Source organism: Homo sapiens, chromosome 18 (assembly GCF_000001405.40).
Source record: "Homo sapiens chromosome 18, GRCh38.p14 Primary Assembly".
Taxonomy (NCBI): domain Eukaryota; kingdom Metazoa; phylum Chordata; class Mammalia; order Primates; family Hominidae; genus Homo; species Homo sapiens.
The window spans coordinates 60,802,003-60,828,843 of NC_000018.10; the positions used below are offsets into that span (position 1 = coordinate 60,802,003).

Consider the following 26,841-nt stretch of genomic DNA (forward strand, 5'->3'; position numbering starts at 1 on the left):
TACATTAGAATGGAATTAAACTTAATCAGATACAAATTTAGCTAATTTTTAAATAGGCCATTTTTTTTTCCATTATAAGCCCCTCTCTATTTTCTTCACAGGGAAACCATGGGCAGCAGTGTATGCTGTTAAGGCTAAACAGAAATATCCATGGAGAAGGAGACTTCAGAGAGAAAGTTCACATACAATTTACATGACAGAAGACATTTTTTTCTTCACTCAATTAAGAGGAACTATTCTTAGTTTTAGCCTAACTTAATTCAGTTCTGAATAATAGGGGCTTACCAAAAAGTTAAACTATTTGCTCATTAATTAGTGTAGAGACATTCAGTCTTCTTAGAATTTCTGTAATTTCTTTTTAAATTTCAGAAGTGCTTTATAAACATTTCAGTTTTGCTAATGTATGGATGTTTGTCAATGAAAAATTTCACCACAGTTAAACATGAAAGGAAGACTTTATACAAGGCTATCACAATAGAGGGGAGAAACCAGAATCCAGTCTGAGCTTTTAGGAGTTAAAGTAAGAAAATCATATGACAGTTTTTGGCTAATTGGCCTTATCCAAATGAAAGTAAAGCATTCCTATATACAAATAATAGAGAAGCAGAGAGCCAAATCAAGAGTGAACTCCCATTCACAATTGCTACAAAGAGAATAAAATACCTAGGAATACAACTTAAAAGAGATGGGAAGGACCTCTTCAAGGAGAACTACAAATCACTGCTTAACAAAATAAGAGAGGACACAAACAAATGGAAAAAAATTCCATGCTCATGGATAGGAAGAATCAATACCATGAAAATGGCCATATTGCCCAAAGTAATTTATAGATTCAATGCTACCATTGACTTTCTTTGCAGAATTAGAAAAAAAAACTACTTTAAATTTCATATGGAACCAAAAAAGAGCCTATATAGCCAAGACAATCCTAAGCAAAAAGGACAAAGCTGAAGGCATCACGCTACCTGACTTTAAACTATGCTACAAGTCTACAGTAATCAAAACCGCATGGTACTGGTACCAAAACAGATATATAGACCAATGGAACAGAACAGGGGCCTCAGAAATAATACCACACATCTACAACCATCTGATCTTTGGCAAACCTGACAAAAACAAGCAATGGAGAAGGATTCCCTATTTAATAAATGGTGCTGGGAAAACTGGCTAGCCATATGCAGAAAACAGAAATTGAACCCCTTCCTTACACCTTATAAAAAAATTAACTCAAGATGGATTAAAGACTTAAATGTAAAACCTAAAACCATAAAAACCCTAGAAGAAAACCTAGGCAATGCCATTCAGGACATAGGCAGGGGCAAAGACTTCATGGCTAAAACGCCAAAATCAATTGCAGCAAAAGCCAGAATTGACAAATAGGATCTAATTAAATTAAAGAGCTTCCGCACAGCAAAAGAAACTATCATCAGAGTGAACAGGCAACCTACAGAACGGGAGAAAATTTTTGCAATCTATCCATCTGACAAAGGTCTAATATCCAGAATCTGCAAGGAACTTAAACAAATTTACAAGAAAAAACAACCCCATCAAAAAGTGGGTGAAGGATATGAACAGACACTTCTCAAAAGAAGACATTTATGTGGCCAACAAACATATGAAAAAAAGCTCATCATCACTGGTCATTAGAGAAATGCAAATCAAAACCACAATGAGATACCATCTCACACGATTTAGAATGGTGATCATTAAAAAGTCAGGAAACAACAGATGCTGGCGAGGCTGTGGAAAAATAGGAATGCTCTTACACTCTTTGTGGGAGTGTAAATTAGGTCAACCTTTGTGGAAGACAGTGTGGCAATTCCTCAAGGATCTAGAACCAGAATTACCATTTGACCCAGCAACCCCATTACTGGGTCTATACCCAAAGAATTATAAATCATTCTACTATAAAGACACATGCACACATATGTTTATTGCAGCACCATTCACAATAGCAAAGACTTGGAACCAACTCAAATGCCCATCAATGATAGACTGGATAAAGAAAATGTGGCACATAAACACCATGGAATACTATGCAGCCATTAAAAAGAATGAGTTCATATCCATTGCAGGGACATAGATGAAGCTGGAAACCATCACTGTTAGCAAACTAACACAGGAACAGAAATCCAAATACCACATGTTCTCACTCATATGTGGAAGTTGAACAAGGAGAACACATGGATACAGGAAGGGGGACATCACACACTGGGGCCTGTCAGGGGGTGGGGACAAGGGGAGGGAGAGCATTAGGACAAATACCTAATGCAAGTGGGGCTTAAAATCTAGATGATGGGTTGATAGGTGCAGCAAACCACCATGGCACATGTATACTTACGTAACAAACCTGCATGTTCTGCACATGTGTCCCAGAACTGAAAGTAAAATAAGAAAAAAAAAAAAAAGAAGTAAACTTTCTTTGTATCTTCATGACAGAAGGAAGTTTTACACCTAGCCCTACGTGCCCACCAGAAATAGGACCCTATACTCCCAGGGACACTAGAAAATAGGAGTGCTATTTCCCTTAATGATTACATTTCAAAAGGATAGATCTCAGGTCTTTGTAAAAACTGTCAACAGACTTTTAAAAGGATCTACATCTGAAAGGGGAAAAGAAAGATTTTACAATTACAACTTTTTTAATGTAAATGATCTAAGGAAAGTGAGTAAAGCGACCCTGTGGTTAGGCCATCTGGATTCTGTAACGCTTGCATGAGAAGCAGTTCAGGGACTTAGAGGCAGGAATCAGCCTGTGTATAATCTACCTGAGGGAAATGTTAAGGCTTTCTTGGTTTTCTTCATCACTACCTTCTTTTGCTAATTATTTCATGTTTCTAACATTCAGCCTTTGGCCTTGGCTTTGCCGCAACACCATGTAAATTGTCCTCAAGCAGACAACTGGTCTCTTGATTTGCAAATACAGGGGCTTTGATGATATGTCATTTTGCACTCTGCCAAGCTGAATGTGAACGACAATATATGGTTTTCTTCCAAAGCCTCAAGGCCAGAGCAAGGACATAATAACTTCAAGTGGCCCTGCTACAGTTGTACAATAGTACTTTAATATGCATTTTTTTCCAACTGATCAAGGAACTGCATCTTTCCTCTAATAGGAATGAAAATAGAATCAATAATGCTTGCTGTAATCTAACTTAGATCTTTACCATACTGTTTGTCAAAAACCATGCAGCACACATATTATTTTGGGAGCAGAGAGGTTGAATTTAATCAGTGCCTTTTGTTTTCTTGCTACTTGCTTTGATTGCAGCAGTTTAGCTGTTTTGCTCTGTTTAGTCATTATCTGTTCCTCCCCCTCCTTCCTTCCTTCTCTTTGTTTCATTAGCATCTTTATTGTATAATTTCTTTATTGTTTGAGCTGTGGTTCTCAGTGTTTAAATGATTGTTTTGTTTCTAAATTCCCTTTTTTCATCAGAAACTTATTTTAAACAAAAGTAGTTTGAACAAATCTGACATACGCCCTTGAATTATATTTATTTATATATCTGTGAGAGAATTCATGTCATAGTTTTGGATGACTTGGATACATATGTAAATTAGCATAATGCCCTTTAGGTAGTGTGTACTACATTGATTGTACCAGTTAATGGCTTCACTGTCTCCATGAGCCTTGTAAGGGACTGCTGCTTCTCTTATCAAGAGGTATAGTCTATTTTTCCACTTTTGAATTTGTGCTGGTCCTGTGACTTGCATTGGTCAACAGAATGAAGCAGAGGAGGCTTTTGCCAGTTTCAAGACTAGAAACTTTAGTGGATGCCTGCACATTCCAGAGAATAAGCCTGGACTAACCAATGGGAAGATTAGAGAACATGCTGAAAAGATGTAAGTTCTCAGTTGAGGATATCCTACGTCAACCAGCTCTCAGGCAACCCACAAACTGACTACAAGTGCATGCTCACATCTAGTCAAGATCAACCACATCTTTTCATACTAGCAGAAGATCTTCATTGAGCCATAGACTGAAAGCAAAAATAAATTTATATGTTTCCACAATACCAGTAAGATATTGCCATTGTTATGTTACAAAGCACCATTTGGGTATTAAGTATATACTTTTCTCCATGTATATACTTTTCCCCATCATATACTTTTCCCCATGTATATACTTTTCCCCATCATATACTTTTCCCCATCATGTACACTTTTCTCTATCATATACTTTTCCCCATCATATATACTTTTCTCCGTCATATACTTTTCCCCACCATATATAAAAGTATATAGTTTTAAAGTATATAATTTTCCCCATCATATACTTTTCCCCAACAAATCATATTTTAAACATTTGTTGAGTGCCATAATATATACCAAGATACTGAGGGAAGTACTAGTGGCATAGAAACAAATGTCAACAACTCTCTCAACATGACATGCTCATGTGGAAGACAGACAGAAAAATCAGTCTGTATTACAATATAGTGTGATATATCAGATTTTTTAAAGCAATGAAAGTCAACTGACAAAGTTTTCCTAAAGACATGGTCCCAGAATATCATGGCTTCCAATAGAACCAAGATATTGCAATTGTTCATGTTTTACATTCTGCCACAGTGTCTGCATACTGAATTTGTGACATAGGGATATAAAAGCAAAGAAAATGAAGTGGGATGGAAAGAAAATGATTACTTTATACTTAACTAAACTAAATGGGGATAAAATTGATAACCTTTATGGTTTGAATTCATAAGTCCATTTTACCCTCAATTTAGTTTTATGTCTTCAAAAGCTCCTGTCCAATTTTACAGATTTCATAAAAGAAATAATTTTCTTTTGAAATTTCAGAATTGCTTTTTGGTTCAATTAAACCTTGATGCCAGGGCAACTGAAGCTGTTACCAGTTGACTGTCCTGCATATCTTGGCCAAGTGAATACATTCTGCATTTTTCCTTTATCTGCCTTGGAAGAATTATTCATTGATTGAACTCACATTTCTAGGAACACAGATGGAAAATGGTTTTAAAAATGTACCCTTTAAAAGAGTGTTCTATTTTCTTTTCTCATTAAATGTCTTTGTATAGTCAACTATTTCTTCCAACAAACCACAGCTATGCCCTGGTGGCTCCTTATCATCCTAGGTTCTTTTACTCTCCCATAATATTCTTTTCTCTATACCTGAGTTTGCTATGTCAGAAATACCTCTGCCATCCTCATAGTTGGAATAATATATTTATGCTCTTTCCTATGCCAAATGAAAAATATAAAAGGCAATACATGTCACTGAGTGAAATGCTGATTTTCCTTTCTTCCCTCCCTTCTTCATTTCTTTCCTTCCTTCCTTCCTTCCTTCACTGTCCTTTTTTCCTTTTTGTTCCCTTCCTTCATTTTTTAAGAATACACAGTTATTATTTATACATTGTTTATCAGCATGACTTTGTAGAGAATTTATTCTTGAACTTATTTTATATTTTGTGTCCATACAGATTATATATATTTGACTTAAAGTTTGCTAAGTAAAAAGAGAAGCAATTTGAAGTCATCCATTTGTATTTTTAATCCAGGCTGCATCATGTTCTTGCTAAGAAATAAGTCAAATAACCTGAATGATTCTCACCATATTATGCATAAAAGAAGGTAAATAATCTTACATTAGAAGCGTGATGTAAAAGTCAATCTAATTGTGTATATGTTAAAATAAAACCTTTCTGAATAGGTGACACTCTGAAAAACATTGTAGAATTGTTTAGAGATGTTGACACAGCAAAAAGTATAGTAAGTTCCTAAAATGTATTGAAGTAGAGAACAGCTTTTCTTGGACTTAAATTTTAAATGAACCTTGAAGTGTTATTAAAAATGTTAATTTTAAGAAGGAAGAGCCTTTCCAGGAAGAAATTTTCCAAATATCTGGGTTCCTAATGACTACTTCTTAAGTCTTGTGAATACTCGAAATAGAAACTCTTGCATTTTTATGATTAATCAACCTCTTATGTTCTAAGCCTGAGATCATATTTATCTATTTATCTATATATCTATCATCTATCTATCTCACTACATACACACACACACACTTCAGTAGGTAGCAGCAAAGGCTTTCTCTTTCACTGTGTTATTTTAACTTTCATAAGAGAAAAGTTGCCTTACTATAGAAAGAATATATTCCCAATTCCATGTTCACAGCTTTTCTTTAATTATCATCTTTCTTAACCACATTTTTCACTTCATAAACTTGGCATACATGTTATATAAGAAAGTTTAAAGTATGATCTGAAGTGCAAAGTAATATATATTTCAAAAAGATATTAAGTAGGCACAAAGATTAATTTGTTTTTTGTTAATCTCATCCTCTATTTTTCTCTTCATTAACACTTATTTCTGTGCCCTTTGGTAACTGGGAAAGACATAGTGAGTAAATTGTAAGGGGAAAAATCCTCATTACTTCATGAAAACATGCGTCATAAGGTCAAATTAAGGATTCAACATAACCCTTCCCTGTTAGTCGCGCTACTTATATGTTATTTATTGCAAAGGTAAAAGATACAGTTTATTTTCCAACTTGTAGCATTAAACATTTTAAATATTAAAGATGATAGAAAAACTTGGTTTGCATTTTCCTTTTGTGGACTCCAGAGGGCAGCATGCATTCTTTCAATGTCATAAAAGGTTAATAATAGCTATCCATCTATCTTTTTGTCTGTCTGTCTTTCTATCTATCTATCTATCTATCTATCTATCTATCTCTTCCATTGACTTTATATCTGTATTTCTGGGTAGAGACAAGTAGATCCCTGCTAAAAAGAAGAAATGAGAGAAATTATATATATATATATATATATATATATATATATATATATATATATATATTTAAATTATTAGATACTTTCTTTGCATTTCCAAAAGAAAAAACACAATGTGGTTAACTAAGCAGAACATATCCTTCTGGACCTTCCAAAAGTACTAAATATAAAATAACATTATTTTACTTTCATTTTAAAAACTATTTAATTTTATAAATAATTAAGCTTTTGAATAGATGCTGAAAATTACTCCATTCTTTATATAACCAACAAAACAAGACTAGAAAAGTAAAACTGACTTTCACCAGGACAAACAATGAATTTTCCTAAGAATAAAGGATGATATGGTAGCACATTCTGGACAACTTTTAGATGTCTGAATATATAGCAAGGGAAACTTAGATACTCCCTGTGTAAAGGGCTATCTTGTGCATTTACTTGTCTAGACTTTTAATAAATCAAGACCAGTCAGTGACCATTTATAAAGTGCTGGCATTATTCTAATTATAGAAGAAGTGTGTGATATATAACTGTAGGGGATGTGGAAAGACAAGCCTGTGTTTTTCAACTAATGATGCTTTTAATGACCTCTCCTCACAAGCTACTCAATGAACAATTTAGAAGAAGGTAAAGGTAATAAAGAGAGCTTTATTCTACTTACTTCTCTCTTAATTTCATCTTTTGGTTTGTTTTAATCAAGAAAAAATGGGACAAAATAATCATTTCACAGATAAAGCTTTAGTTAATGGTAGAGGAAAGAATATCAATCTGGAATTGAGCATTGAAAATTTGAAGCACCTGGGGGAGATTCTGCTTACAGAGAGAATGGGGACAATAAATGAGGACCATGGAAAAGGTAAAAGTGGCATTTTACTAATAATTATACATGAAATTACAGCGATTACATTTATTTTCCACTAAATTAAAACAAAACAAAGTTGCGACTAATGTTTAAAAATGCAAGAAAAGGAAAATGCAGTATTTTGATATGATATGCACACCTGCTTATATTTGTCTCTGGTTGTTTGCAGGACCTGGTCACATAAACTTTCACAATGGTATTTTTTTTTTTTTTAATGGAAGGGAAGCCCAAGTTCCTTATTTCTACTTGCAAGAAAATTAACACTTGGGAGAAAGTGCAGAATGATTGAAAGATGATCTTAACAAATCATTACATTTTTCTTTTTGGTCTTAACAAGTAGAAATAAAGCTACATCTATGGGATTCTTTAACATGAGCACTGTAATTTACATGCAAAATAAATTCAGGTGGAGCTATTCAGGGAGACTAGGTATAGCAGGATCACCATTTGTCAGAGATTATTACTCTAGAAGGCTCCCTAGGAGAAGCATAAATTTGTCCTGAAATAACACATTGCGTAATAACAGCAAGGAGCTTGTCTCTGCACTTCTCAAAGGCTGCACACCTGTGCAGAGAGACCTTCCCACTGAGCCTATCAAGCTAACCTGCTCATTCATGTGGCAATCCCAGCCCTTAGTTAGGAACTACTGAAGCAATCACAGAACCATCAATTTACCCACTAACATGTTGTCTTTGAAACATAACGGGGATAGATCTATTTCATTTGAAACCCTAAATGCTTTAAGAAAGACTGGGTTAGTAGGAAGATACCAAACACTGGATTTAAGTAATCCTAAATTTAAAAAAAAAATCTCAATAGTTTGGCTCATTCATTAACTATGAAGATCAGTGTCCTCATATCTAAATGGAGAATAATAAAGTCCTCATCAGAGGATTATTGTGATGATGATAATTGCTTTAGGCAAAGTGTCTAGCGCAGTGCCTGGAATAATTGAGCATCTCTGCTTGTGTTGGAATCAGGGGGCCTATAATATTACAAACTCAGATCTCGTCCTTCATGTAAGATGACAAACCATCCGCAGCATAACCCCAAGCTCTGAATAGTAGCACTGACCCATTTGTGTTATGTGTCCCTGCCCACATTTAACTTATGGATTCTGGTCATCCAAGGCTCGGTGAGATATAGAATGGTTCTGGGTACTCTAGCCATGAGACTGTTAACGAGCTAAGTGGCCATAAATGGAGTTACACTGTGTGCTCATTCAGGACCAAGTTCCAAATAGCAACTTTCTGTCTAGCTAGTCCTTCAGCCACTTGTAAGGAAACTTTAATGCAAAGATATCCTTTTGAAAGTAGGAGCAAACCTTTTTATTATTGAATACTGATTTAGTTAATTGAATTATTAAGCCTTTGGAACTTCATCCATTTATAGTTCCACTGTCATTTTGTTGTTTTGGAAGAGTGATATGAGGGAGCACACTCATTTACCAAGCCTACACTAATAGTTGGTAAATGTGGTTGTGCTTAAATTTAAATGGAAAGCTAAACTCAGCAATTTAATTCAAATAACGAGCTACCAATTATTTTCAGGATCTTAGAGCTCCTTTTGGTTATAAATTGCTGTTTGCAGATAGCAACTAGTCAATCATTTCACCACAAAGCCTCTTATTAAGTAAAATTGTTTTAATCGTTAAAAGTGTTTGGAGTTTCAGAAAGTCAGACAGCACAAAAATACCTAATAATACACTCTAAGCCACCTACAATGAATTTCAACTTTATCTGGCTCCAAAGAGAAAATGACTAAAATATTTTTGGTGGATGAGTATCAGTGGATTTCCACTGCATGTATTATTTCAAACAGGGATAAGTGTATGATTAAGCAGAAAAAGAACTAATTGATTTGATTAAAAGTATTTTTAATAGAAAACCTTAAATAGACATCCTGTAGAGGAACATGGTAAGACTCTCTAACGTACCATAATCTATAAGGCATATACAAATATATACATAGCTATATATTCATAGCTATACATGCATGGAGCTAACATAATAGGCCTCTCATAGAGAAATAATTAACACTGCAAAATATGATTTTGACCCTCATTAGAGCATCTTCCTTAAATAAATAAGAGCTGTTTTCTTTATAAAATATTGTTTTTATTATCCACCTAAAAATTCCACCAGTCAGCAGTGGGATTTGGTTCATCACAAACAAACTTGAAAATAATTTTTTTAAAAACATAAATTACTTAGAGAAGATGCCCTAATTCCAAAAAAAATCAGTAGGCACATTTTCTAGAATTAGTTTTTGCTAACGTAAAAATTCACCAGTTCAAGACAAGAGAGGGTTTTAAAGCTATTTAGTGTATGTTCACATTCTATACATTCAACCATACTGGGGTCAAAATTGCCAATGTGCATAACATCAGACTGTCATAGTTCATTCTATTAAACTAAAAGCCTACAAAAGACACAATTTGCTCACATAAACAGGCTAAAGTTAAGTCCATTATGAGACAACAAAGAGCTCATCTTCTTGAAGAGATTGGAAAAGTTCAAATATAAAGCATAAAAATTTCAAAGGAATGTTAGGATCCACCCATGTAACTAATTCTTATTCTAGGCTAGATGCTAAGCTCTTTATGAGGAGCCAGTAAGTAATTGCATTATTAAAAACATGTTTTTTAAAATATTTCTTATTTTTATTTATTTATGCAAAGACAGTATCGGCAATAGGTAATGAAGACATGTTTTTAAGTTTAAAATTAATTTCCCATTTTGAAAGGTTCAGGACTTTGTCTCTTCTTTCTACCTTACCCTTTTAAGTACTTCACCCCAACAAAGTAGCAAAAAAGTGTATTCCTTTAGTTTTTCTTAATGTTATATTGGGATACCTACAATTGGCTCTTTAAAATTTAGTTACCATTTATAGTTAAGCTAGAGAGTTAATTACAGAATGATACATATAAGAATGTTATAGCACCTCAAAAAGTACAAATAATTTTTAAAAGTAAAATTTCAGGGCACTTCCAAATTCTGAGGTATAATAAAGTCCTCCTGGGGATTCTTAAGTTGAAAGACACTTCCCTTCACATTCAGAATAAAAATTACTAGGAATTATAGAGCACGATGCACACTGGTAATATGGCCCATAGTAGCTACATTAGGTGAGGGATAAATGGAGTCTCCATGTTTTAGAGACAACATAATTGGGAGAAAGGCCAGGAAGCCTCTGTAAACTCATATCTATGGCTGGTCAAATGATACTGATAAAACTGTTTCCCTTAAAAAGGTATTATCCCTTTGCTTCCTTTCCAGGGATTAGCCCTTGAAGTTCTTATACAGCTACTTCCCTTCTTTACATCACCAGTTCTAGGAGCAAACCTCCTGAAAGAATGGTAATACCGACTGGAAAAGCAAGACTGTGGGTGCAGCAAAGGGACCCTGATGCTCTAGTTGTTTGTCATTTACAATGTACAATGAAGAGAGCAGCTAATCTAGAAACACTGTTAACTCTGCCTCTAGCACATTCTTGGGATATGTGTATTAAGCAACTTTCGTGGTTTAGAAATACCTAAACTACATATGTTGATTCTTCTGGACATACAGCCAACTAGCAGACACTCTCTAGGTGCTGAAAATATAACACTGAACAAAAGTCAATGTTGACATGAAATTATTCTAATGATGAAAATAGACAATGGACACAGAATGAATTATGTCATATAATAGCACATGGTGTTAAGTGCTATGAGAAAAAAAATAAAACCGCATAAGGGTAAAGAGAGTGGTGAGATTGCTCTTTCAGACAAAGTGGGCAGGGAAAGCCTCTCTAAGGTGAATTTTGACTACTAAATTAAAGAACGTGAGGGAAACCATCTAGCTAATATTTAGGGGAAGGGCATTCCAAGTCTGTACACAATGGCAAATGCAATGGTCCCAATGTGGAAATATGGTTGGCATTGTGACAGAACCTGAAGGCCAGTGTGGGTAGGCATAGCGTAATTAAAGGAAAGTGCAGTAGAAATGAAATACATGAGCAATAAATGTGCCAGGTTGTATAAGGACTTGGATTTTATTTTGTGATGGGAAAGCATTTTTGAATTTATCAAGAAGAGAAAGATGATCTGACAGATTGTTAAAGGATCAGTATGACTGTTGTGGTTTAAATTTATAGAAAGATCAGTCAGCAATATTTGTCACTTTTCTGCAGCCAAGTTCAACTACAAAGGTTCATGGAATTATTCTGATTTAATTGGTGTTGGAATTTCACCAGGCAAGAGAGTTGATGATAAAGGTACTTTTTAAAATTGTAATTGTAGAGTTTAATGTCATTAAACTTAATGTCATTAAGAACACATTGTTGTACAAGGATCACCACTATCCATCTCCAGAACTTTTCCCCTTCCCAAACTAAAACTCTACTCATTAAATTGAAACTTCCCACTCTTCCCTCCCCCAACCCCTGGCAACCACCATTCTACTTTCCATCTCTGTAAATTTGACTAGTCTAGATACCTCATATAAGTAGAATAATACAATATTTTTCCTTTTCATTTGGCTTATGTTGGCTTATTTCACTTAGCATAATGTCTTCAAGGTTTATCTATGTTGTGCATGTGCCAGAATTTTATTCATTTTTAAGGTGAATAATATTCCATTGTGTGTATATACCACACTGTATTCATCCATTCATCCACTGATGAACAGTGGGTTGTTTCTATTTTTTTGGCCATTGTCAATAATGCTCCTATGAATATGAGTGTACAAATACCTGTTTAAGTCTCTGCTTTCACTTCTTTTGAGCATATACCCAGAAGTGTAATTGCTGGATCGTATGGTAATTCTAGTTTAATTTTGGAAGAACAGCCATCTTTTCCCACAAGGACTGCACCATTTTACATTTTCTACCACTGGTGCACAAGGGTTATAATTTCTCCACATTATTGCCAACACGTGTCATTTTCTGTTTTATTTTTTAAAATAGCAATTCTAAAGTGTATGAAGTAGTATTTCTTAGTGCTTTTATTGATTTGCATTTCCTTGATGATTAGCATGATTTCGTACGTTTATTGGACATTTATATACCTCTTTTGTAGAAATGTCTATTTAAGTATTTTGCCCATAAGACACAACAACAACAACAAAAAGAAAACTACAAGGCAATATCTCTGACGAACATAGATGCAAAAATCCTCAACAGAATACTAGCAAATCAAATCCAGCAGGACATCAAAAAGCTAATCCATCATGATCAAGTAGGCTTTATTCCTGGAATACAAGGTTGTTTCAACATAAACAAATCAATAAATTTGATTCACCACATAAAATAATCAAAAACAAAAAATACATAATCATCTCAATTAATGTGAAAAAAGGCTTTTGATAAAACCTTTTCATAATAAAAACCCTCAACAAATTAGGCATTGAAAGAACATACCTCAAAATAACAAGAACCATCAATGATAAACGTACAGCCGTAATACTGAATGGGAAAAAGCTGGAAGCATTCCCCTTAAGAAACTGAACAAGGCAAGGATGCCTACCTTTATGACTTCAAAATAGTACTGGAAATTCTAGCCCAGAGAAATAAATAAAAGGCATACAAATAGGAAAAGAAGTCAAACTGTTTATATTCACTGATAATATTATTCTGTACCTAGAAAACCCTAAAGACTCCATCAAAAGGCTCCTAGAATTGATAAATGACCTCAGTAGAGTTTCAGAATACAAAATCAATGTAGAAAAACCAGTCGCATTTCTATACACCAATAACATTCAAGCAGAGAGCCTAATTGAGAATTCAGTATTGTCTGTGATGATCAGAAATAATAACCTGGAATACCTAGAAATACAGCTAATCAAGAAGGTAAATGATCTCTACAAGGAGAACTTCAAAACACTGCTGCAAGAAATCATAGATAACCAAAACAAATGGAAAACGATTTCATGCTCATGGAATGGAAGAATCAGTATCTATAAAATGGTCATACTGCCCAAAGCAATCTATAAATTCAATGCTATTCCTATCAAACTTCCAACATCATTTTTCACAGAATTAGAAAAATATGTTCTAGAATTCATAGAGATCCAAAAAAGAGCCTGAATAGCCAAAGCAATCCTAAGCAGGAAGAACAAAGCCGGAGGCATCACATTACCTGACATCAGACTATTCTATAAGGCTACAGTAACCAAAATAGCATAGTAATGATACAAAAACACACATATTGACCAAAGGAACAGGTTAGAGAATGCAGAACTAAAGCCAGACACATACAGCCATCTGACCTTTGACAAAGTTGACAAAAATAAGTGATGGGTAAAGGACTCCCTATTCAATAAATGGTGCTGTCATTACTGGCTAGCCCTATGCAGAACAAAACTGGACCCTTACCTTTCACTATATACAAGAATTAAATCAAGATGGATTAAAGATTTAAATATATTACTTCAAACTATAAGAACCCTAGAAGAAAAGTGACAAAATACCCTTGTGGACATTGTCTTTGGGAATTTTGTCAAATGCTCTTTCTGAATCAATTGAGATGATTATGTAATTTTTGTTCTTCATTCTTTTAATGTGGTACATCATACCTATGGATTTTTGTATATTAAATAATCTTTGTATTTATATACTAAGTGAGAATAAATCCCACTTAGCCAAATGTATAATCCTTTTAATGTGCTGCTGAATTCTGTTTGCTAGTATTTTGTTGGAGACTTTTCCATCAATATTCATAAAGGACATTGGTCTGTAGTTTTATTTTCTTTTAGTGTTTTTGTGCCCTTTAGTATCAGCATAATGCTGTCTTCATAAAATGCATTAGGCAGCATTACCTTCTCTTTCATTTTGTGGAAGAGTTTGAGAGAGATTGGTGTTATTACTTAAAGGATTGTTAAAACTGAGCAGTGAAGCACATCTGGTCCTGGGCTTGTCTTTGCTGGGAGGTTTATAATTACTGTCTCAATACCTTTATTTCCTATAATTCTGTTCAGGTTTTCTATTTCTTTTTGAGTCAGTTTTTATAGGATGTGTTTTTAGTATTTTGCTCATTTCATCTATGTAACCTACATGAAATGAACAAACTTGTTCATTTGTTTGCATAATTTGTTGGCATACAATTGTTCATTATACTCTTTTGTACTTTTGTAAAATTTTGGCAATATGCTCAATTTATTATTTTAGTTATTTGAGTTTTCTCTTTTTTCTTAGATAATCCAGCTAAATTTTGTCAATTTTATTGATTTTGTGAAGAACCAGCTGTTGGTTTCATTAATTTTATCCATTCTTTTCCTATTTATCTCTTCTAATTTTTATCATTTCTTTTTTTTTCCTCTCTCTATTTTCTTAAGGCTTAAAGTTATATTGTTTGAGAGCTTTTTTCTTTTTAATTAAGCATTTATAGCTGTGAATGTTCCTTTTAACACTGCTTTTGCTGCATGCCATAAGTTTTGTTATGTTGTGTTTTCACAATATTTATCTCAAGCTATTTTCTAATTTTTTGTGCGATTTATTCTTTGGCTTATTGTTTGTTTAAGAATGTGTCATTTAATTTCCACATATTTTTTAATTTTCCAGTTTTCCTTCTGCTATTTATTTTTTAGTTTCTTTTCATTGTGAATGTGAAAAATATATTTTATATAATTTCAATATTTTTAACATTTTAAGTCATTTTATAGCCCAACATATGAATTATCTTGGGAAGTATTTCATACACACCTGAGAAAAATGTATATTACTTTGTTAGATGCAGTGTTCTTAAATGTCTGTTAGATCCAATTAATCTATAGTGTTATTTGAGTCCTCTATTGTGTTATTAATCTACTATCTGATTGTTCTAGGAGAACTTTTAATCATGAACCATAAAATATAAGTTGGATAAGAAGGGACATAAAGATATGAAAGAGATAAAAGGAAAAAAATTTATTCTGGAATGATGGAACAATTGTTAGAATCCAGTTACTAGAGATACAAAATGGAAAGGCAGCACACAGTTGTTGAAATCAGGGTGGCTGAAATATAGCTCATGTCAAGTTCTCATTACTGGTCGAGTGCAGGGAGTGACCATGTGAGTGGTAAGTTGGCATAGGCAGGACAATGTGGAGGAAGTGAGAAGGCTAAGAAACTGATAATTGGATTGGATTGATGATCCTATGGAGTTAATCAGAATGAGGGCTAGAAAATGGTGAGAATAAATGCATTGAACCAAAATGCTAATATCTTCAAGGGGATATGGGGAATGTCAGGGAAGAAAATAGATTACAACACTCTGAGAAGTACGTGAAGAAGTCTGATTCCATAGGCTTCAAGGGAACTTGCTCTTATAGGATGACCTAGAAATGATAATGAGAAGCCCACATCCAGGAATATTGGTATAAGATGTATGTGAGAGGAAATTACCATTATTTGAGAGGACAGCAAGAGCGATTATATCTCTAGAAAATAAATAGATTTCAATTACTGCAAAAACTTTTGTCAAAGAGATGGAAAAAATAAAAGATGCTTATGAGTTGATTGTAAGTTGCAAAGAGTCCAGTAGAAGGATTTGCGTGTGCCAGTGTGAGAGGGTGAGAAAGGAATGCATGAGGATGCACAGAGCATGGCATAGGGGGTTAGAGCAGGAATGGGGAGGACTATCTAGAATGCATGTATTTCTTACTGAGTAGAGGCAAACATAAAGGTAGAGCATGATATAATGATTCTTTTTTTTATACACTTTAAGTTTTAGGGTACATGTACACAATGTGCAGGTTTGTTACATATATATACATGTGCCATGTTGGTGTGCTGCACCCATTAACTTGTCATTTAACATTAGGTATATCTCTTAATGCTATCCCTTCTCCCTCCCCCCACCCCACAACAGGCCCTGGTGTGTGATGTTCCCCTTCCTGTGTCCATGTGTTCTCATTGTTCAATTCCCACCTATGAGTGAGAACATGCGGTGTTTGGTTTTTTGTCCTTGCGACAGTTAGCTGAGAATGATGGTTTCCAGCTTCATCCATGTCCCTACAAAGGACATGAACTCATCATTTTTTACAGCTGCATAGTATTCCATGGTGTATATGTGCCACATTTTTTTAATCCATTGGACATTTGGGTTGGTTACAAGTTTTTGCTATTGTGAATAGTGCCGCAATAAACATATGTGTGCATGTGTCTTTATAGCAGCATGATTTATAATCCTTTGGGTATATACCCAGTAAGGGATGGTTGGGTCAAATGGTATTTCTAGTTCTAGATCCCTGAGGGATCACCACACTGACTTCCACAATGGTTGAACTAGTTTACAGTCCCACCAACAGTGTAAAAGTGTTCCTATTTCTCCACATCCTCTCCAGCAGCTGTTGTTTCCTGACTTTTTAATGATCGCCATTCTAACTCGTGTGAGATGGTATCTCATTGTGGTTTTGATTTGCATTTCTCTGATGGCCAGTGATGATGAGCATAATGATTCTAAGAGTGGAAGCACAAAATCATTTCTCATGTAGCTCACTTCTTTCAAAACAATGGTCTGTGTTTGTTTTCTTGTAATGTTTGTCTAGTTTCGTATCAGGGTAAAATAGGACGAAAAGAGTAACAGTGGAGCATTTGTACAGGCAAGGGTGGTCTCACCAGAAGCAGGTGAACTTTACAAGCCTACCCTTTTAACTATGTTCTGTGAGAATCTATATAAGACAGATTCCTAAAGGAAAAAGTATTGGGTAAAAATGTATAAGCATATTCTAAAATGTGACTATTATTTCTCTAAAAATATGTCTTTTGATAATTATGTAACTTGGCTAAAGCAAAAATGAAGAAAAACCACCACAAATCCCGCCATTCAGAAAATAAGTTCCTTAAATAATAGATACATTTTTAAAAGATCTATTTACAAGCTGACATAAAAAGAGAATGTTTTATAAAATATTGTAATATTTCTTCACAGGTTATAGTTTTTAAAAGCTACATGTTACTTCATCATTTTAAAATAAAAGGATTGTGAAATAAAACAGAGGAAGCTAAAACTTATAATAAATATTTTATATGTAGATTATTTCCTAAAAGATTCCACTAGGTAATGAAAATGATTAACACAAACGTTATAATCGTGGATTCACTATATTTTAGGTACATGTTTGAATTTTAGACACTGTTTACTTGCTACAAAGAATGATGAAAAATTTAATTTTTTAACAATTTTTTCCTCCTCAGTTACCCCAAATCTCTATTTATTATATTATTTTTCATATTAAGGTTTGCAATATTTATATGTTCTGTCAACACATTTCAGAGTTATTTCCTCTTATTTTCATATTTATATAGACAACGCTAATTATTTGTCTTTTTTTCACCAAAGCTTGTCAATTCCTGAGTCATTTGGATTTGTATAATGGATGGCTGGATGTTATCATCAAGTGATATTTTTAAAAAATGTTCAGAAAAATTGAATTCTCCAAGTCCTTGCATAATTCTGAATGTATGCTTTTTCTTCGTATAGAATAGAACCTTGCCTGGATGTTACATTCTGAGGACATTTTCTTTTATTCAGTACTTTGTAGGCATTACTCTAACATAGTCTAATACTGGAGGTCCCCATAGAGAAAGATAATGCCAAACATATTTTTCCCCCTCTGGGGCTGACTAGGATTTTCTGCCTAGAATTTGTTTCCATCACTTTAATAGCTTACCTAGGATATGACTTGGTGTCAATTGCTATGTGACTATTATTTTCTCGGGATAAGAGTCATTTCAAACTCTAGGTTCACAATTTTTTCAATGAGGTGAATTTTTGTTACTATCACTTTAACAATTTATTAGATGTTGAGTGAAAAAATAATATTTTTCTTTACTTTCTTCTTTTTAAATTTATTTTTATTTCAATAGGTTTTGGGGGAATAGGTGGTGTTTGGTTACATGAATAAGTTCTTTAGCAGTGATTTCTGAGATTTTGGTGCACTCATCACCCAAGCAGTGTACACTGTACTCAGTGTGTAGTCTTTTATCCTTCACCCTCTCCCACCGTTTTCTCTGAGTCCACAAAGTCTACTGTATCACTTTTATGCCTTTCTGTCCCCTAGCTGAGCTCCCACTTGTGAGTGAGAACATATGATGTTCAGTTTTCCATTCCCACGCTACTTCATTTAGAATAGTCTACAACTACAACTAGGTTGCTGCGAGTGTCATTATTTTATTCCTTTTTATGGATGAGTAGTATTCCACGGTGTATGTATGTGTGTCTATATATACATACATATATTCTATATAATATATACATGTGTATACATATGTATACACACGTGCATATATATGTACATATATACACATATGTATTACATATATCATATACATATATGTATATGTATTATATACACACATATGCATATGTATACATATGTGTGTATATATAATGTGTGTATTATATTTACACACATACATATGTGTATATATACATATGTATGGTGTATATATAGATAATATATCTATAAATATAGATAATATATCTATATATATAAATATAGATATATATATCTCACATGTTCTTTATCCACTCATTGATTGATGGGCGTTTGAGCTAGTTCTATATTTTTGCAACTGAAAATTGTGCTGCTATAAACATGCGTGTGCAAGTGTCTTTTTTATAGGACTTCTTTTTCTTTGGGTAGGTATCCAGTAGTGGGATTGCTAGAATGAATAGTAGTTCTACTTTAGTTCTTTAAAGAATCTCCATAGTCTTCCATAATGGTTGTACTAGTTTACATTCCCACTAGCAGTGTAAAAGTGTTCCCTTTTCACTACATCCACGACGACATCTATTATTTCTTTGTTTTTTGATTATGACCATTCTTGCAGGAATAAGGCGGTATCGTATATTTGTTTTCATTTGCACTTCCCTGATCATCAGTGGTGTTCAGCATTTTTCCATATGCTTGTTGGCCATCTGTGTATCTTCTTTGGAGAATTGTCTATTCATGTTCTTAGCTGACTTTTTGATGGGATTGTTTGTATTTTTCTTTTACTGATTTGTTTGAGTTCGTTGTAGATTCTGGATATTAGTCCTTTGTTAGATGTGCATATTGTGCAGATTTTCTCCCACTCTGTGGGTTGTCTGTTAACTCTGGTGATTATCTCTTTTGCTGTGCAGAAGCTTTTTAGTTTAATTAAGTCCCATCTACTTAACTTTGTTTTTGTTGCATTTGCTTTTAGGTTCTTGGTCACGAAGTCGTTTTCTAAGACAATGTCTAGAAGAGGTTTTCCAAAGTTATCTTTGGAAAGTATTTTTATTGTTTCAGGGCTTAGATTTAAGTCTTTGATCCATCTTGAGTTGATTTTTGTATAAGGTGAGAGATGAGGATCCAGTTTCATTCTCCTACATGTGGCTTGCCAATTATCCCAGCACTATTTGTTGAATAGGCTGCCCTTTCCCCACTTTATGTTTTTGTTTGCTTTGTTGAAGATCAGTTGGCTGTAAGTATTTGGCTTTATTTCTGGGTTCTCTGCTTTGTTTCATTGATCTATGTGCCTATTTTTATCCCAGTACCATGCTGTTTTGGTGACTATAACCTTATAGTTTGAAGTTGGATAATGTCGTGCCTCCAGATTTGTTCTTTTTGTTTGGTCCTGATTTGGCGATGTAGGCTCTTTTATGGTTCCATATGAATATTAGGATTGTTTTTTCAAGTTCTGTGAATAATGATGGCGGTATTTTAACAAGAATTTCCTTGAATTTGTCGAATGCTTTTGGCAGTATGGTCATTTTCACAGTATTGACTCTATCCGTTCATGATCATGGGATGTGTTTCCATTTGTTTGCGTCATCTATGATTTCTTTCAGCAGTGTTTTGTAGTTTTCCTGTAGAAGTCTTTCACCTCCTTGGTTAGGTATATTCCTAAGTATTTTATTGTTTTTGCAGCTGAAAAATAATACTTTTAAACTGTATGCATAGTACACAGTTTGACCCAGATTAAGAATGAAAATGCTTCTATTAGCCATATATATGTCCTCTGTGTGCCCCTGAATCTCCCTCCTTTCTCCCTCTTAGGAATAACCACTGCCACGAATTTTGTGTTAGTCATCTCTGTGACTTAAAAAATACTATTTTACTTCATATTGTTTCCCCTTAACAATATGAGGTTTAACTCTGCATGTTTTAAGTTTACCTAAATGATAATACCTTATGTTTTCTTCAACTTATACTTTTATTCAGTATTATTTTTCAGTGATCCAGCCATGGCATTAAATGTGACTATATTTAATTTCACTATTCTAAAATTAATAATATTTTATTTATTTTCAGTTAGAAACTATTAGGAACAACACTGCTGTGAATTATCTGATACAGAGCTTCAGACACACGAATACAGTTTATCTAAACCCAAGTGTAGAATTGCTGAATCATAGATTTTAGACGTCTTCAACTTTACTGTCTAATGCCAAATTATTTTCCAAATTGGTTGTAAAAATTCACACTCTCAGTAACTTGTATAAGAGTTCAGGTTACTATACATCATAACTCCCACTTGTAATCTTCAAATTTTAACTGTTATCATTTTGTCAGCTGTGAAGCCATAGCTGATCATATTTACAATTTGCAATTCCCTGAGCTTGCGGTTGGCATCAGCCCTTAAAAGTGTTATTTTCTGTAGAATGCTTATTCATTCAGAAATATTCTGAATGAACAATCCTTTCATCTATGCAATTATAGCTTGTCTGATCTTCTAAATTTAAAATAAAAAATACTAACTTGGAAAAATAAAACAAGGAGCTTCTCACAGTAAAATTAAATATCAATGCAGTAAACAGTCAACCTATTAGAATGGTAGAAAACATTCACAAACTATGTCTGACATAGGTCTAATATCCAGAATCTATAAGAAACTTAAATCAACAAGCAAAAAACAAAATAATCCCCTTAAAAATGGGCAAAGGACATGAACAAATACTTCTCAAGGGACACACACATGGCCAGCAAACATACGAAAAAGTGCTCATTATCACTAATCATCAGAGATATGCATATCAAAAACACAGTCAGAACGGTTGGTATTAAAAAGTTAAAGAATAACAGATGCTGGCAAGGCTACAGAAAAAAGGTAACACTTATACACAGTTGGTGGAAATGTAAATTCGTTCATCCACTATGGAAAGCAGTTTAGAGATTTCTGAAATAACTCAAAACAGAACTATCACTCAACCCAGCAATCATATCACTGTGTATAAATCCAGAAGAAAATAAATTTGTTTAACCAAAAGACACCTGCACTAATATGTTTGTCACAGCACTATTCACAATAGTAAAGACATGGAATCAATCTAAATGCCTATCAATGGCAGATTGAATCAAGAAAATGTGGTACATATATACCATCAAATATTATGCAATCATAAAAAGGAATGAAATCATGTCCCCCAGCAACACTGATGTAGCTGGGGACTATTATCCTAAGCGAGTTAATGCAGAAACAGAAAACCAATTACCACATGTTCTCACTTACTGGGAGCTAAACATTGAGTATACATAGACATAAAGATGGGAACAATAGATACTGAGGACTACTAGGCAGTGAGGGCGTAGACTAAAAACTACCTTTCAGTCACTATGCTCACCACCTGGGTGAAGGGATCATCCATATTCCAAACCTTACCATCACACAATATACCCATGTAAAAACCTACACTTGTACTCCTTGAATCTAAAATAGAATTTGAAATTAAATCAAAGAGAGATAACAATTATTTTACAGCACTACTGTACCAAATGTGGTGTGATTGGAAATAGGTGTAGGTAGGTAAAAGCAGGTGGAAAATAGTGTACTTCACTGATTTGAGATTTTTCTCCAACACAGCTTTCTAACACGGGGAATCTCCTTTGGCATGATAGCTCCTTTTACACAAGGCCATCACAGTACTAATCATGGTACTCTGTTTCTGTTTATAATTTAAACTCCTTGAAAGAGATGTTCTTACAAGAGAAGCTGATATACTCTTCATATCTCAACAACTGGCACAACTTCTCCCGTGTACTAGGCTCTAAATTAATACTTGTTAAATATATTTTTAAAACACAGTAAAAAAACTTGCTGTAAACAAACTCTATATTGTAATTGCTACATACCGCTTCTAGGGAATGAGGTGTAAAAGCATAAACATCTCATCGTAAGCATTTGTTTATTTTCATTCATATTTTTAGTAGCAATTTTATATTGTAAAAACCAGTGAGTACAATTTCACAACCCTTCTCTCAAGGAGAAAGGGGAAACTTACTAGAATAATAGACAAGTTGAAAATAGTTTAAGTCTCATTTGTTGTCGTTTATCAAAGGACCTGAGGGATAAATGGGTCTTCAACAACTTCAACGAAATCCTCATAAAATGGAAAATAGTAAAAATCTTCAATCAAACTGCCTAAATAAGTACCCCCAACTACACTCTTTGCAGCTGATGAACCCAGTTGAGATTGAGGAAGCTCGTGCAAAATTTCCGGAAAAGATCATTTTAGTTATACTTTGAAAGATTAGTAGAAGGTAATTTTATCAGTAGTCTATGAAAAGATAGTCCAATAATTCCAAGAATGTGGGAGAAAGTGTCATGTATTCAAGGATTTTACACTGAAGAAAATGGTGGACCACTGACTAATTTTAAACAGGTATTGAGGAATGTCATGATCAGATTTGTGATTTAAGAGGCATTGCCCTGGAATCAGCATCAAAATATTTAAGAGATATGTAGAAAATAGAAGGAAGAAAACAATTTAGAAAGTTATTAGAGTAGTTCCGGTGGCAAATAGTTCAAAGGGACTCGACTAGAACAATTACAGGGATGAAAGTGAGGGGTACGCATAACTGAGAGATTAATAAACTGAAAATGATTTGCTTCATTATTAATGTTTAGGTGAAAGAGAGTCATAAGAATCAAAAACAACTCATAGGTTTTGGCTATCTACCATTCCTCCCTGAGGAATTTCATTTTTGGCTTAATGGGGAAAAATATATAAACAACTTTCCATTTTATAATACCTGGTAAGTATACTGATAATGATTTTCAGAACAATTTTCACAAGAGTTTAATGCACAAGCGAATGAAGTAATTACTTTTGAAAAAATGAGAGTGTTTTCAATTTTGAATGTGTTGAGTTTGAGTTTTTTTGTGTAATGTCTATTGAAAGTTTTAGTTGATAAATAAAGGAGAAGAATATAAAACTTAGAAATATGTCATTGTACATGAAAAATAACATATTCCAACCTGCATGAGTTTGTAATATGAAAAATAAATTATAGATTATGTTTATGTATTGGAAAACTGATTATTACAGAGTTGCCAACTCTTCCAAACTCAATCTGGACAGCATATGTAATTTATTGATGCTTCCAAAATGTATATGGAAATACACATTTAGAAATGGTTTTCTAAATGGTTTCTAACAAAGGACAAGAAGAGGAAAGATACTCTCAAAGGAGAATAACAAGGTGGAAGGCTTTCTCTATAAGGTATAAGAAATATTACTTAGCTGGAGTAATTATGAATTTCAAACTGGTTCAAGGAAAGACAAATAGAAAAATTGATTTATTAGAATGTTGGCACTGAAGATCAGTAGGGATAGAAAATAATTTTTAAGTAATTGTGCTAGGTCAACACATAAAAAATAATGCAAACCCTTATATTAGTTTTCTATTGCTGCTGAAGAAAATTCCAAAAACTTAGAAGCCTAATACAATAGCCATTTATTAGCTCAGAGCTCTATAAGCCAGAAATCTAGCACAGCGTGCCTGGGTCCTTTACTCAGGGTACCATACAGCTGAAATCAAGTTGTAGATTGGACTGAGTTCTTTTCTGGAGCTCTGGGAAAACATATAATTCCAAGTTTATTCTTATTGCTGAGAAAATTCAGGTTTATTTTGCAGCTATAGGACTGAAGTTCTCATTTCCATGCTTTCTGGTCTCAACTCCTAGAAGCTACCCACATTCCATGCCACATGGCTCCCTCTATCTTCAATGTGAGTAATAGAGAATCCTGCTCAGGCTGAACGTCTCTGACTTCCCTGTTACTGATCTATAGATCCAGGATTAAAAGGTTTGTGATTAGGTCAGATTACCTGCATAATATCCCTAGCTTAAACTCAACTGATTTGGCACCTTAATTATATCTGCAATAATCCTTTACAGCAATACCTAGATTAATGTTCCACGGAATAACTAGAAGATATATGTACACTAGGAGCTAAGAACTTAGGGGTCATCTAAGAATCCTGACTACCATTGTCCCAACCCCTGCATATTCAATTATCATTTACAAAAGAATTGTAGAGGCCCATGTAATAGGAAAAATACCAACACTTTTTGCCAAATACACAGACACATATATTTTATAATTTTGGCATATATAAAGAAATTAAATAGGACACAAAGGATTGGCACACTAATGGGAAAAATGGTGAATTAGACTACTTTATAAATAAGAATCATTGGGGTAGCAGAGTGGAGAGGGGAATATGTAGGTCAAATGATACAAAGTACCAAATATGTAGGATGAACAAATCTAGAGAGATAATATATAGCATGAGAGATATAGTTAATAAAATTATATTGCATTGGGGATATTTGTTAAATAAGTAAATTTAAGCTTCTGTTGTTACAAAAAAGTAATTATGTGAGATAACAGATATGTTAATTTGCTTCACTATCGTAACCATTTTACTACCTATATGTATCTCAAAGCATCATGTTATAAACCTCAAACATACACAGTAAAATTAATTTTAAAAAAGAAGTTCATCAAAGCATGCCATTTAGAGAGTAAAAAGGCAAGCCATGGAGTAAGTAGCAGAAGATATTGGCAAGACATACACATCCAACAAAGGATACATATCCAGTATATAAAAATAAAGTGCTTGAAATCAATAAGAAAAATACAATAACCTAAGAGAAAAAGGCAAGTGACTTAAATAGAGACTTCAGAAAGAGGGTATTCAGATGTCTACTCATCATATTAAAGATACTCAATTATTAGTTATCAGGAAAATTTAGTCAAAACCTACAATGGTATATCATCACACAACCACCACGATCCTTAAAATTATAAAGATTGACAATGCTAAATTTTAACAAGAATATGGACCAGCAGGATCTCATGCACAATGCTGTGTGAGCATAAATTATTGCAGCCATGTTAAACTGTTTGGCATTACCTTTTGCCTTAGCAGTGTCATTCCTATGCATATAGAGAGCAAAACATGTGCACCTAGAAAATGTATAAGCATATTCTTAGTAACATTATTCATAACAGCCAAAAATGCAAAAGCCCCAAATGTCCAGCAAGAGTAGAATAGATAAATTTCCTTGGCAGAGTCAAACAATGTAGACGCTATGCAACAGTGAAAACAGATGAACCATAGACACATGCAACAACATGGATGAATTTCATAATCTAATGCAGAATAAAATCATCCTGGCAAAAATAATATTTTTTTAGTCTATTTTTATAAACTTTAAAATATGCAAAAGTAAATATTGTGTTCGAAGTTAGAATTGCATTTAACTTTGGGGAGGAGAGGTGGTACTACTTGGGCCTCAGAGGGTTTCTGTGCTGTGGATAATATTCTATTTCTTTATCAAGATGGTAGTCAAATAAGTGCTTCCTTTGTGATAATACTTTAATAAGCCATATATTTATATTTTCTGCATTTTCTGTTTAATATTGCAATCACAAAAAAGGTAGAAATACCAGGCCCAAATGGTTTTCTAAATGGTTTCTAACATACATTCAAGAATACATTTTAAGAAACTCTTACATGGTGCTGAAAAAGGAACTAGTTCCCTACCATATAAAACTAATTAAGAATCATATACTGTTGTAAATACAGATGAAAAAAATCCTTAATAAAATATTGACAAACAAAATCCCAAAAATACACACAACACATGCTAAGCTGGGTTTATTTTGGGATCACAAAGTTGTTTTAACTTTAGGAAACTGTTCAATGTATTTCATGACATTAACAGATTAAAGACTTAAAACCATATGATGATTTCAGTAGTTATATACAAACAATTTCCTAATGGCATTAGGAATGATGTTTTTATGTTTTGAAACTTGGTTTTCCTTACTGTAAAATGAGAAGAAAAAATTTAGAAATGTAAATTATTTTTTAGAAGATAGAAAATAACAATATACAATATATTGGATCCTCAGATACTTTATTCTGACATTTATGGGGAACTTAAAGAAAGCAACAAATTTACTATGTTTAAGCAAATCCATTTCAATTTCAGTTTTAATCCTAGCTCAGC

The 26,841-nt window shown here is 33.6% G+C and overlaps 1 annotated feature.

Annotated features, from left to right (window-relative positions):
• Nucleotides 2,068-2,803: an enhancer, noted in NCBI's record as "OCT4-NANOG hESC enhancer chr18:58471303-58472038 (GRCh37/hg19 assembly coordinates)". NCBI's record gives its function as "activates a minimal SCP1, AML or CMV promoter by ChIP-STARR-seq in naive and primed H9 embryonic stem cells {active_cell/tissue: H9 hESC(naive and primed)}" and the evidence as "EXISTENCE:reporter gene assay evidence [ECO:0000049][PMID:30033119]".